At 33.5% G+C, this 12,982-nt stretch overlaps 1 protein-coding gene across 1 annotated transcript in view; it reads right to left on the bottom strand.

Annotated features, from left to right (window-relative positions):
- Positions 1-309: 309 nt before the first annotated feature.
- AHR (aryl hydrocarbon receptor) overlaps positions 310-12,982 on the bottom strand; it is a 47,496-nt gene continuing 34,823 nt past the window's right edge. Inside the window, exons 7-11 of the mRNA NM_001621.5 lie at positions 12,343-12,545; positions 11,461-11,570; positions 10,671-10,812; positions 6,229-7,471; positions 310-3,536 (exon numbers count right to left, since the gene is read on the bottom strand). Of these exons, the coding sequence (NP_001612.1) occupies positions 3,393-3,536; positions 6,229-7,471; positions 10,671-10,812; positions 11,461-11,570; positions 12,343-12,545 (1,842 nt within the window). The 3' untranslated portion in view covers positions 310-3,392. The remainder of the gene's footprint in view (positions 3,537-6,228; positions 7,472-10,670; positions 10,813-11,460; positions 11,571-12,342; positions 12,546-12,982) is intronic.

Genomic DNA, 12,982 nt, shown 5'->3' with positions numbered 1-12,982 from the left:
CAGAAATATTCTTAAAATATTAAAATAGGATTTTGGATTTTAATCTAAGACACACTACTACACTGATAACACAGGGCTTTAAAAAAGTTCATTTCAGAAGCATTTTAATTTATGAAGCTACTGAGAGTGTTTTTTATATCCAGATAAAGGTCAGACATTGGGGGGCAAAATTGTATAAGAAGTTTATGAATTACTGACTTAACATATCCCTAAGTATTGTAGATTGCCCTCATCTAACATAGTTATAATACTACAGAATAAATAATTTCCTTTACGTGGACCAGAAAGAATTTACATTAAAACATATTATTCATATTTGTTATTTTATTATATATTATTGTATACAACTTTGATAATGAGGATATTATAAATCATACTTTAAGCAAAAATCTATGCATGATATATGTAAGCAGTAACATTTTGAAGAAAAAAGCCATGAAAGCATTTACCTAAAATTTAGTAACATCGAAAAACACTAGTTTGTGCATAGTAATGTTGAAAGCTTCATAATACACTAGAATACTGGTAAGTCTTCAGGTATTGTAAGAAAAACCTGGTACAGGAAAAGACTAAATTAGACACATCCATATCCTTAGATGTGCACATCATCTAGAAATAAATCCCACAATGTAGCAGTGCACTAAGTATCCTTTGTTTGGCACTTAACAATACAGACAAACGTGTATTTGGTTTAACGTGATTTTATTATTCTTAGATACATTTTAGTTATTTTATATAGATAAAAATATACAATATTGCTTTTCAAACTTTTAATTTTATAACTGTATAACTGATTGTCATCATATTCATGATTAAAAAGCCTATTTTCCACTAAACAATTTATCCAGTAACATGTGGAAGAGAGTAACAAAAATGGTTTATGTAAGACTTATAATAAAAGGTTTAAATGTAAAAATAGAGTATTAATCTAGACCTCTGGTCTAAATCCTTAGATACCTCATGCTGGAAACAAATTATGAAATGTTTCAGACAAATTTTTTCCAACACTTAAATTGATTCTACAGGTTTAAAGTTTTGACTGAAAATACACAGAACTCAGAGATATTTTGTCCGAAGCCATTTTTATATACATTAACTTACTAAAAAAAGTAAAAGAAATAAAAATTGTATTTTTTTTTTTTTTGGAGACGGAGTCTCGGTCTATTGCCAGGCTGGAGTGCAGTGGGGCGATCTTGGCTCTGCAACCTCCGATTCCCAGGTTCAGGCTATTCTCCTGCCTCAGCCTCCTGAGTAGCTAGGACTACAGGCTCACGCCACCATGCCCAGCTAATTTCTGTATTTTTAGTAGAGACAGGGTTTCACCATGTTGGTCAGGATGGTCTCCATCTCTTGACCTCGTGATCCACCCTCCTCGCCCTCCCCAAGTGCTGGGATTACAGGCGTGAGCCACTGCACCCGGCCAAAAATTGTATTTTAATACATCTCAGTTTGGGATTCCATCAGATTTTCAAATAATACATGCAAAATGTGTCTAAGCTCTTCAGCTCTCATATCTAAAGAAAAGAAGAGCTGAATGCAGTGGCTCACGCCTGTAATCCCAGCACTTTGGGAGGCCAAGGTGGGAGGCTCACCTGAGGTCAGGAGTTTGAGACCAGTCTGGCCAACATGGTGAAACCCGTTTCTACTAAAAATACAAAAATTAGCTGGGCATGGTGGCACATGCCTGTAATCCCAGCAACTCGGGAGGCTGAGGCAAGAGAATCACTTGAACCCAGGAGGTAGAGGTTGCAGTGAGCCAAGATTGTGCCACTGCACTCCAGTTTGGGCGGCAGAGTAAGACTCTCTCTCAAAAAAAAAAAAAAAAAAGAATAAAAGATGGTGTCATTTTTTCTTTTAAACCATGTTAGGACAGTAAAGTTGGTAGGGTGATTAATTTGCCTATTGGTAATGAAGATCAGTATATCATTAAAAAAACCTAAAGTTTGAAGGTAAACGAACTATGTGGTTGTCTTTTTATTAATACCAACTTTAAGCAGTTGGATTCATTACTTGATTTCTTAGAAAGACACATTGATAAAGTATGTAAAGCCCCAACAAATTAAGTGCATATATAAGGTATGGACTTTTTAAAATGAAAAACTGCAAATATCTTACAAATAATTTTGTTCATTATATCTATACAATGCACCATTCAATTCACTCATTACAATACTTTGCACCAAACCTTGCTATCTGCAATCTTAACACTCCTCAAATATGAGAAAAACACATAGTTTCCACTGTTCTAAGAAGCGAAATTTATAAAGTCAACACAATATATTATCAAGGATTATAGGTCTAAAACAGTTTTTAAAGACAATTTATACACATTGAAATGGGTGCTTTGCTTAATTAAAAAGCTAGAAATAAAGCTTCTTGCAATTTAATAAACAAGGTTGCAGTTAACAGCAGATTTTTCACATTGCAACATTCAACTATCATCATGGAGATATCAATAAAGGTAAAGAGTGGTATATTTATTTCTTCTGAAAACACTGTTGAGGAATTTAAGTGCTATTGTCTTAATATTTTTATAATAATTAAGAAATAATTTGGAAAGACATTTTACTTTTAAATTTTTTCAACATAAGGCACATAGCAACATTTATAGTCTAGAAACAACTAAATTATGTAATAAATAATTATTTTTTCGATCATTATTTGCCCTTTACCTGAAGAAAGTAGGTAAGCAGTGGAGTTAAAATATGCCTGAATTAATGAAAATGGTTGGATTTAGGAAACACAAATAATATTTGTGTGCAGAAAGATATTAATTTAAAAAAGAAAAAGAATACTTTATATAAAATATACATCCTAGAGTGTTATAGGTAGAAAAAAATGTGAGGCACTTAGATGAAACAGTGAAGGAGGAAAGCACTGAGATTATCTTTTTATAAAAAGCACCAAACCATTTATTTTAACATCTGAGATAAAAGCAGAGGTTAACATGATAGGAAAAACTAGTTTAGTTCTCTAACTTTGTATTTGGGGAACTAATAAGAATCCAGTAGCTCAAAACTCAAAGTATTTTATTTTTACTGTGACAGAAATAATTCAAATAGAGAATATTTTCTAATTTAAAAGAATCTTAGTTTCCCTGATAAAGTTTTGTATATTTTGTGGTGCCCAGAATAATGTGAAATGTAGACGGTACCTCACCACTCCGTGGCAGCACCCTTTCTATCTTGACTGTAGTATATGTAATTTTGATACCATTTTTAAACTCCCTTTTCTAAAAGCAAAAATTAAAATTTGGTTTGGAATAATTGTGAATAGCATGCATCAATGCCTCCATGTGAACTTGCTGACGTCCAACAGTGACAGTTTTATTTTTCCATAATCCTTCACAAACTAATTTAATCCAAAAACCAGGGTCAAAATTGGGCTTGGAATTACAGGAATCCACTGGATGTCAAATCAGGAAAAGGTCTGGCTTCTGACGGATGATGAAGTGGCTGAAGATGTGTGGTAGTCTGAGTGTTATTTATGTTATTTAATTCAGCTGGATATGTTTCATTTAAAACTCCATTCTGAAACTGAAAACAAAAATGGTGATGCAACTTATTGGAATAGATCTTCCAAGTATCTTAAGCCAGTAAATAACATTAACATGTATTTTTAAAATCTTACCCCTGAGAGTTGTAAACTTCAAGTTCCTTTACTGTTGCTAAATTTTAAATCTTTCACACAGTGAAGACATACTGAGGACATATTATGTATTAGTTGCATTTATAACCTGTTTTTCCATTAATTTGACAGGAAATTTTGAACATGGTACAGATGAGTGATGCAGCTGTCTCATTTCAGATTGCCTTTGGGTCAGGTAGGAATTGATGGGTCAAACAGCACAAGTCACAAATTACAGTTAAATATTCTCTATCATAAGTAGGTTTGCTTTGACCAGGTTTGAAGTTATAGGTATCAATGAATTGATTATATTCAGGAATCTTACACTGGAATGCAAAACTTTTCCAAAAAAGGCAGCTTCTGATTTTCTAAATGTTTCTAAATATTCCTAAAATATTACACCACAGGTATGATTTTCTTAACCGATTTCTTATTCATAATATACTTTTAATTAATGAATACTACTGAAAGCATAGTTCTAATTACAGAATCAAGTTACCAAAAGAAAATGCTCTGTCTTGTTTTCTTACACTGCAATGAATCTGGTTTCTATAACTGCTAGTAGAAAAAAGAAAAATAAAAAGGAAGGACATGAAGATGTATAGCTCTGTAGAGTTTTATAGATTACAGAGCCTTTATATTTTAGTTAGTGGACGTTCTGGAAACTTTAAAACAGATTAAAATCATATCCTTAATTGCTTCAAATAAAATCTACCTTTGTAAAGCCTACATAACTGGCTTCAGTAATCAAAATGTTAATTACTTCACAGATCCTCCAAAACATATATAAAATCTATAGTAAAAATCATATAACCTGTATCTTCAATGAATGGCAACACTGTAAATTCTTTAAATAAAAAGTTAGTATTACCTGGCCAGATAATGGTGAGTTTAAAATGATTTTTTCTCATTACTCATAACACAATTCATGTCACCATTCTCTTTAAACATACTGTACACAGCAGTGTAATCCAATAGAAATATAATGTGAGCCACATACAGAACTTAAATTTTTGGCTACAGTAGATTAAATAAAATACATTTCTAAAGTTAATTTTACCTGTTTCTTTTTACTTTTGTAATGCGGCTACTGAAAAAACTAATCATTTCAACATGAAATCAATAATAAAAGATGAGATATTTTACATTCTTTTTTCAAGCCAAGTCTTCAAAATCCAAAAATCCAATGTGTACTTCACACAGCACATCTCAATTTGGACTAGCCACATTTCAAGTGCTGAACAGCTACTCAGTGGCTCAATATTGAGTGTCTTAGCTCAATAACATGTACTCTGGAACATATGTAGGTCTATAGAATTATTTGGTTATTTACAAAGAAGCAGTGAAAAGTAGTGAGGGGAAAACACTGCAAAGAACTTATGTGGTACTCATGCAACTCCTTATTCAAAATGTAATTTTACAGAATTAACTTCTGTACAATTTGCTTTACTCAAGAGTAAAATATACTTTCATAGCAATTTTGTGAGACGGACTATAACTGAATATTATTCAATTTTAATATAATTGAAGGATGTAAGGAATAAGAAAAATTTTCACTGTCCTTTTCTATTAAAAAGCTCATATACGATTAGACAAGCAAAATGTATGAAAAAGCCAGAAAATACAATTAAAGATAAAGCTTCAGGTCATACTTTTAATTATTATACTCTAATACAGAGTAAACAGGGGTCAAGGAGCTTAATTTTAGTCAAGATATTCTTTAAAACTAAACTTAAATATACTTTAAAATGAACTAAATATTTTCTAATGGAAAAAGCATAAATGCAAACATGATGTATTCCTGAGTGGCCAGAGACAGCAGTTACTGACATTATGTTAACTTTTTTTTTTTAAGTGATCATTTTTAGATTTAAAGTGTGCTCACTGCCAGACGGATTCTGATGACACATTTAAACAACAAAAATGCACTATCAAGCTTGATTTCCATGACAGAAAGCCAGCTGAGTTACCTCTTTTAAGAAAGCCAGAAAAGAAAGCCATTCTACCTTAAAGGATGAGATGAGGATAGGGGAGGTAATGTGGAGGAATAGCTAGAGAACATGGAGGTGCCTAGGACTGAATTCCAGGGATATAATTAATCTAGGGTTTCAGAGGCATTGTAAGAAAGCACACTTAAATTTGAGTTTAACTCAATTTCAAACATATATAAAAAAATAGAGCTTTGAAGAAATTATTCTTAAAAATTGCAATACGTTTTTTAAAGCTTGAATTTTTAAATAGCCATATAATTTTTAAAGAATCCAGAAAGAATAAACCAAATTATCTATTTTAAACAAAATACTTCTAAAAACTAATTTCACCTGGTAATTTAGGTCATCTTATATTAAGGACACATTCATGTTGCTTCATTCCTTGATATCTTTCTCCCTCATGAATCAGGTGAATGATATATTAGTAACATACTGGAAAAAGTACAGGCTTGTAAAAAAAAAAAAGGTAGTCACAGATATAATAAAAAATGCTGTCTCCATGAATGCTGTAGATAACCGATTAAAATCAGCTGACATAAAAAATGTGTAACATGTCTATAAGGTAAAAAGAATCACTGAAAGATTTAATTCAGTTTGATAACACCCTTACCTTGTTTAAAAATGCCTGTTGGCCTGGCAGTACTGGATTGTACTGCATCTGACCCACGTGGGTGTGCTGAGGTTCTGGCTGGCACTGATACATCGACACGGCCCCAGCATAACATGTCTGAGGAGTTATTATGGCTGACTGTGGATTTAATCCATGCTTTTGGTTTTCAGGAAGTTGTAAACAAGTGACAAAATCTTCTAAACTAGAAGTAGTGGGGTATGGGGATGGTTCAAAACTCCCCATAGGGTAGTCCAGCTCTGTACATTTGGAATGTTGTGGTAATACAGGCTGATTACAGGAAATAAAGTTCTGTGTATAAGGCATAGAATCCATTTCAGATTTGTAGGGGAACTCTTGACTGATCCCATGTAAGTCTGTAAAGACATTATATTGTTGTGGGTCTTGCTGTGGACAATTGAAAGGCACGAATTGGTTAGAGTTCCAATTTTCAAACATGCCATTAACTTGCATGTGCTTCATCTTCTGACACAGCTGTTGCTGTGGCTCCACTACTACTTGCTTTTGGTGATGTTGCTGTTGCTGTTCTAGATGTAGGTGTTCCTGTACCATACAGCTTGAGTTCAGAGCCAAGGACTGTTGCTGTTGATAATCTGAAGGTATGAAGGGAGACTTACTTAAAGAATCTTGGACATACGTCAGGATTTCATCCGTTAAGTCAATGTCTCTGAAGTCAACCTCACCAGAAAAATCATTTCTGAAAAATTTTTCATTCTGCATGTGTCTGATGTCTTCAAAATCAATGCCTAGGTTTTTCATTATGCTGTACAAGTCACTGTTTTTACTATCTTGAAAGAGCCCTGGGTGACCTCCAGCAAATGAGTTCACATCCTGAGGCTGGTCAATTTGCTCATGTTTCAGGATAGTATCATTTCCCATCGGTGCAGTATTATCTTGCCAATTTCTGCATTCATTCATAGATTCGTTGAAAAAGTTGTTTTCAAAAGGTGCAGTACTTGAAGTACTTGAAGCAGGATAGAGATAAATAGACTCATCTTGTTGCATCATGGCAGCCAGGAGGGAACTAGGATTGAGAGAGTCCTTGCTTAGAGTGGATGTGGTAGCAGAGTCTTTTCCACTAGTGCCATTTTTAGTCCTTAGTGGTAAGGGATCCATTATGGCAGGAAAAGGGTTGGTTGCCTCATACAACACAGCTTCTCCAGTGGTAAACATAAAAGGCAACTTCGTATTTCGTTTTCGTAAATGCTCTGTTCCTTCCTCATCTCTAAAATTGTGTACAAAAAAGTCTTAGAAAAAAATTCTATCAAACATTTTAAAATAAAAATAATTTAAAAAAGAAAAACATAAAGCAAAATACATTGTAATTGAATTCAGAAAGGGACATATTTTATTTTCACCTCAATTATTCTCATGACTGGTGCTATAAAATTGTTTTTCAGACAAGCATATTTAAATGATTTAATTTTTAAAAAATAACTTAGTTAATTCCATGGTCAGGTTACATCCCTACCTGACACCCTGCAAAAAAAGAAAAAAATAATAAATTTGTGTGGAATAAATATCTACACATAAAAACAGACTACGAGAATTTAGGGGCCAGGCATGGTGGTGCATGCCTGTAATTGCAGCACTTTGGGAGGCTGATGTGTGTGAATTGCTTGAGCCCAGGATTTTGAGACAAACCTGGGCAACATGGCAAGACCCTCACCTCTACAAAAAAATAAAAACTAGCTGGGCATGGTGGCACATGCCTACAGTCTTCAGCTACTCTGGAGTCTGAGGCAGGAGGACTGCCTGAGCCTGGAGGTTAAGGCTTCAGTGAGCCACATTTGTGCCACTGCATTCCAGCATAGGTGACAGAGTAAGATCCTGTCTCAAAAATAATAATAATAAAAAAATAAAAAAATTAGGAATTAGAAAGTTAAGAATCTGAAACAACTAACCTCTATAATAAAACCCAGCAGCTATAAAGACAGATTGGCATAATAATATGAAAATTACTTAATATTAAAGTATTTGTATTTTTGCAATAGATTTTTTTTTTTTTTTTTGAGACGGAGTCTCGCTCTGTCGCCCAGGCTGGAGTGCAGTGGCGCGATCTCGGCTCACTGCAAGCTCCGCCTCCCGGGTTCACGCCATTCTCCTGCCTCAGCCTCCCGAGTAGCTGGGACTACAGGCGCCCGCTACAACGCCCGGCTAATTTTTTGTATTTTTAGTAGAGACGGGGTTTCACCGTGTTAGCCAGGATGGTCTCGATCTCCTGACCTCGTGATCCGCCCGCCTCGGGCAATAGAATTTTTAAAGAAAATATTTGTAACATAATGTATTTATAATTTAATATACTTATAAAATTTCATATCCATAATAAAGAGCTCCAATAGAGTCTGAGAGAGAGGCAAACAACTCAACAGAAAAACAGGTAAATGATACAAATGTAATTTATAAAAGAAAAATGTCATAGAAAAACGTAAAAAGGGCCGGGCGCGGTGGCTCACGCCTGTAATCCCAGCACTTTGGGAGGCTGAGGCGGGCGGATCACGAGGTCAGGAGATTGAGACCATCCTGGCTAAAACGGTGAAACCCCATCTCTACTAAAAATACAAAAAAATTAGCCGGGCGTAGTGGCGGGCGCCTGTAGTCCCAGCTACTTGGGAGGCTGAGGCAGGAGAATGGCGTGAACCCGGGTGGCGGAGCTTGCAGTGAGCCGAGATCCCGCCACTGCACTCCAGCCTGGGCGACAGAGCGAGACTCCATCTCAAAAAAAAAAAAAAAACAGAAAGATGTAAAAAGATGCCCCCCTTCAGTAATAAATGAAAACAAAATGTCTTAGTAACTAACAGAAGCACATAAAATATCAACAAATGTATACAAATATGAACACAATTAACAAACTAGACTTCTGATATATAAAAATAAGATACTCCCAAACTACAGAACATGTATTCTTCATAGGATTACATGGGATATTTTACCAACATAGACCATGTATTAGATCATAAAATAAGTCACCACAAATTTCAAAAAAACTGAAATCCATCCAGAGAATATTTTCTGACTACAATGGAATTAAGCTAAAAGTCAATCATAAAAAGGCAACTAGAAAAATCCCCAAACACCAAAAAGTACAGTAACACTGTATTTCTAAATAATTCATGAATAAAAATAAAAACAAATTAGCCAGTATTTTCAATTAAATAATAAAAATAAGATAGCAAAAGATGAGGGTTGTAATGCTGTACTTAAAGGGAAACTGATATATATGTTTAAGTATATATTTTTTAAAAGTTGCAAAAAATGATAAATTATACCCAAAGAAAGTAGAAGGAAGAAAATAATAATGAGCAGACATAATTAAAATTGAAAACAAATGTATAAAATAGAAAAAAATCAATAAACCAAAAGTTGGATCCTAATAAAGACTAATAAAATCTAATTAAAAAAAGTGCCTTCTAGAAACATTGATCAAGGGAGAAGTGACAAATTTGTAGAGGTACACACATACCCATGCACTCATATACATATGGTACACACATACTCATGTACTTCCATGGGTACTTATACACATACATACATTCATCATGTTCATGGGCTCAAAGATTCAGTATTAAAAAGATGTTAATTCTCCCCAAATGATCTACAGTTTCAAGGTAATTGCACTCAAAATCTCAACAGATTTTCAGACAACTGCTTTCTAAAATGTATATGGAATTATAGAGGGCAAAGAAGAACCAAGGCAATCTTGAAGGAGAACAAAAAAGGCAAAACAAACAAAATGACACACTCTGACATAGAAATATATAATAAAGATAGAATAACTAAGACAGTGTAATGCTAGACAAAATAGACAACTGCACTAATGGAGCTATTAATAGAACAACACAATCCAGACAGAGAACCACAGACAAAATCCCCTGATCAAAATACAGCGCAGCCGGGAAACAATGACCTTCTCGGTAAATCATCTTTTCAATGTTACTGGTCAATTGGGTATACGTATAATGGCTGGGGGGAATCAATCCTTACCTCAAGCTACAGACAAAAATCAATTCTCCAGAGTGGGAGGAAACATTTGCAATACAAATATTTGATAAAGGACTCATCTGCAGCATGTGTAAGAAACTCTTAAAATCACTGCTGGGTTTAGAGAATATATTCTAAATAAAGCATTGTTATATTTTTCTTCTTTTTTACCAATGACACTAGCTTTTCATGTGTCTTTCATATGCCCAAGATAAAACCCTAGAGTTTTATTATTCTTTCTATAGCTCTGCACATGTAGCTCTCAATCAAGTTCGTCAATTCTATCTTCTCAATGTCTCTCACCTGTGCTCTTCTTTCTAGATGAATTAAACTTTTCAATTTTTATTTACAGACTAAAGTCTGCTTGAATTATTTTTATGCTTTCACATAAGAGGACTTATGAAAACAAAACTGTTAAAACAGGAAACATTATTTGTGCTTACGTTAGTGGTCTCTGAGTTACAATGATATAATCTGGTCTTCCATTTTTATAAAGCAGGCGTGCATTAGACTGGACCCAAGTCCATCGGTTGTTTTTTGTAAGAAGCCGGAAAACTATCATGCCACTTTCTCCAGTCTTAATCACTAAAATAAAATTAAAAAATTAAATTATCAAACCCCCAAATCAATATAGTAAAGATTATTCCTAAAACAAAGCTCTTGTGACATAGTTCTGGATGTATTTCCTTTATCCCCAAAGACAATAAATTTTAAACAAAAAATAATAAAAGGCATGGAAATAGTTTTTCAGAGTTGTTTTAAATTTATTATTTTAAATGTTAAAGGGAAGATTATGTACCAAACAATTCTAGTAACACAGGAAAGTATAGAGAGAACATAAGTTGGGGAAAAAATTATTTTCATTTTAAATAGGGAATATTTTCCTACAGCCTAATACTTTATAATTTTAAACTAGAATTATTAACACTATTATTGTTACAATATTAACATAGATTTATGAATTGATAACGATGTAATTAAAAAATTCCCAAGCAAAACTTCATGGGCCAAAATGGTCATTTTTTAATAACTAAACAACAATATTTCTACATGGCAGGTGTAGACAAGTTAATGAACAAAGAGTGTAACCCTGGTTAATCATAATGATATGTTACTAAGTAGAAGTTTATCCATATACTTTACTTAAACACTTTACATTACGTAAGAATTTGAAACATGTACAACAGTATATGCCGTTTTCTTCTGACATGTTCATAAGGAACTACAACTTACTTCGGATATGGGACTCGGCACAATAAAGCATATCAGCTGCATGAATAAACTGATAACCTGAGCCTCTCGTGCACAGCTCTGCTTCAGTATATCCTAAAACAATTCTTCCTCTGTTTAAAATAAAAAAAGGTAAAATAAGAATGGATTAAGATTTAACATAAATGAAATAACCAAGATAAATTCATTGGTTTTACGCTAGTTTCTGCAATATGTTTTAGTTCACATTTAGAATTTCACATAAGTAGATGTGAAATTAAACACATCCATGTAAACTGATCTTCTTTGCTTATGATTGCAAATTTCAGTTTCAGCCTATTTTCTTTTCCTGAATAAATCCATGGAAATTAGTATGCTAAAAATGAATCTAATAGAGCAGATGTATGGGTAACAGAACATCTTTAATAAAAATCTGGAATGTTTTTATAATCTATTTTTAGGGAAGAAGGTTTTTCTAATTACCTCTCTGCATTCCCACATTAGAAAGGAGAAAAGCACTGATATGTTTGATATGATATAAATGTTTAATATCAGACTCCTGCTCACAATTTTCTGAAAGTTACTAAAACTTCTGGGGCTAGAAATCAAATAACATTTGTGCCATTTAAAAATGTAAAACAAACCAACATAAATGTCATCAGAAGAATAAACCTTACTAATATATAAGAACATCATCATTTGAGACAAGTATTGCAAAAATTAAAAAGATGATTTGTGAGCCTGATTAAATTATTTTACTGTAAAAGGCTACACTGGAAGAATGTACGATAATAGCCAATCTAATAATAAACAATATTACATACACTGTATGTTTTACATGCTAAGAGAGACTTACTGAAACATAATGTACATCCAATAAAATAAAAGTGAAAAAGTCTCACTTACTTGGCATCACAACCAATAGGTGTGAAGTCTAGTTTGTGTTTGGTTCTAAAGATAAAATTTTTGGTCCGGATTTCAAGTATGGATGGTGGCTGAAGTGGAGTAGCTATCGCAAACAAAGCCAACTGAGGTGGAAGTATTGATCCATCTTTCCCTTTCTTTTTCTGTCCATGAAGATACTTTAACTTCCCTTGGAAATTCATTGCCTTAAAAAAGCAACAACAACAAAAAAGTTCATTAAAATTAACAATATAAAATAGTGCCTTTTTAAAAGGCTCCATTATGGCTGCCTCTAGGGTTCTTGATAATTCCATAAATATTCCTGAAGCTGAGAACTGTTAGTTTCCTTCACTCCTCTCTCCATGGGACGCCCATTAAATCTATCTCAAAGAGTAATATGAAAAATATTCTAAAGGGATAAGTGAACCACTCCTTGTTCCTAATGGTCATAACATGAAAACCTATATCATTTTCCAAGCTTGCCATTACCCTATCATTTTCACCTCACACAGCTCCTTGCACACCAGGCAATCAATATATCCTGAATGGTGATAAAGTCCTAAAGTAAACATTCATTTTCAAGCATACATGAACTATATCACAGCTCATAGCATACTGCATAGTTCATAATCTTTTCTATAGA

The sequence above is a fragment of the Homo sapiens genome, chromosome 7, assembly GCF_000001405.40.
Source record: "Homo sapiens chromosome 7, GRCh38.p14 Primary Assembly".
Lineage (NCBI taxonomy): Eukaryota > Metazoa > Chordata > Mammalia > Primates > Hominidae > Homo > Homo sapiens.
The sequence above is the reverse complement of the archived record's forward strand: the minus strand, read 5'-3'. Positions and strand labels throughout refer to the sequence as shown.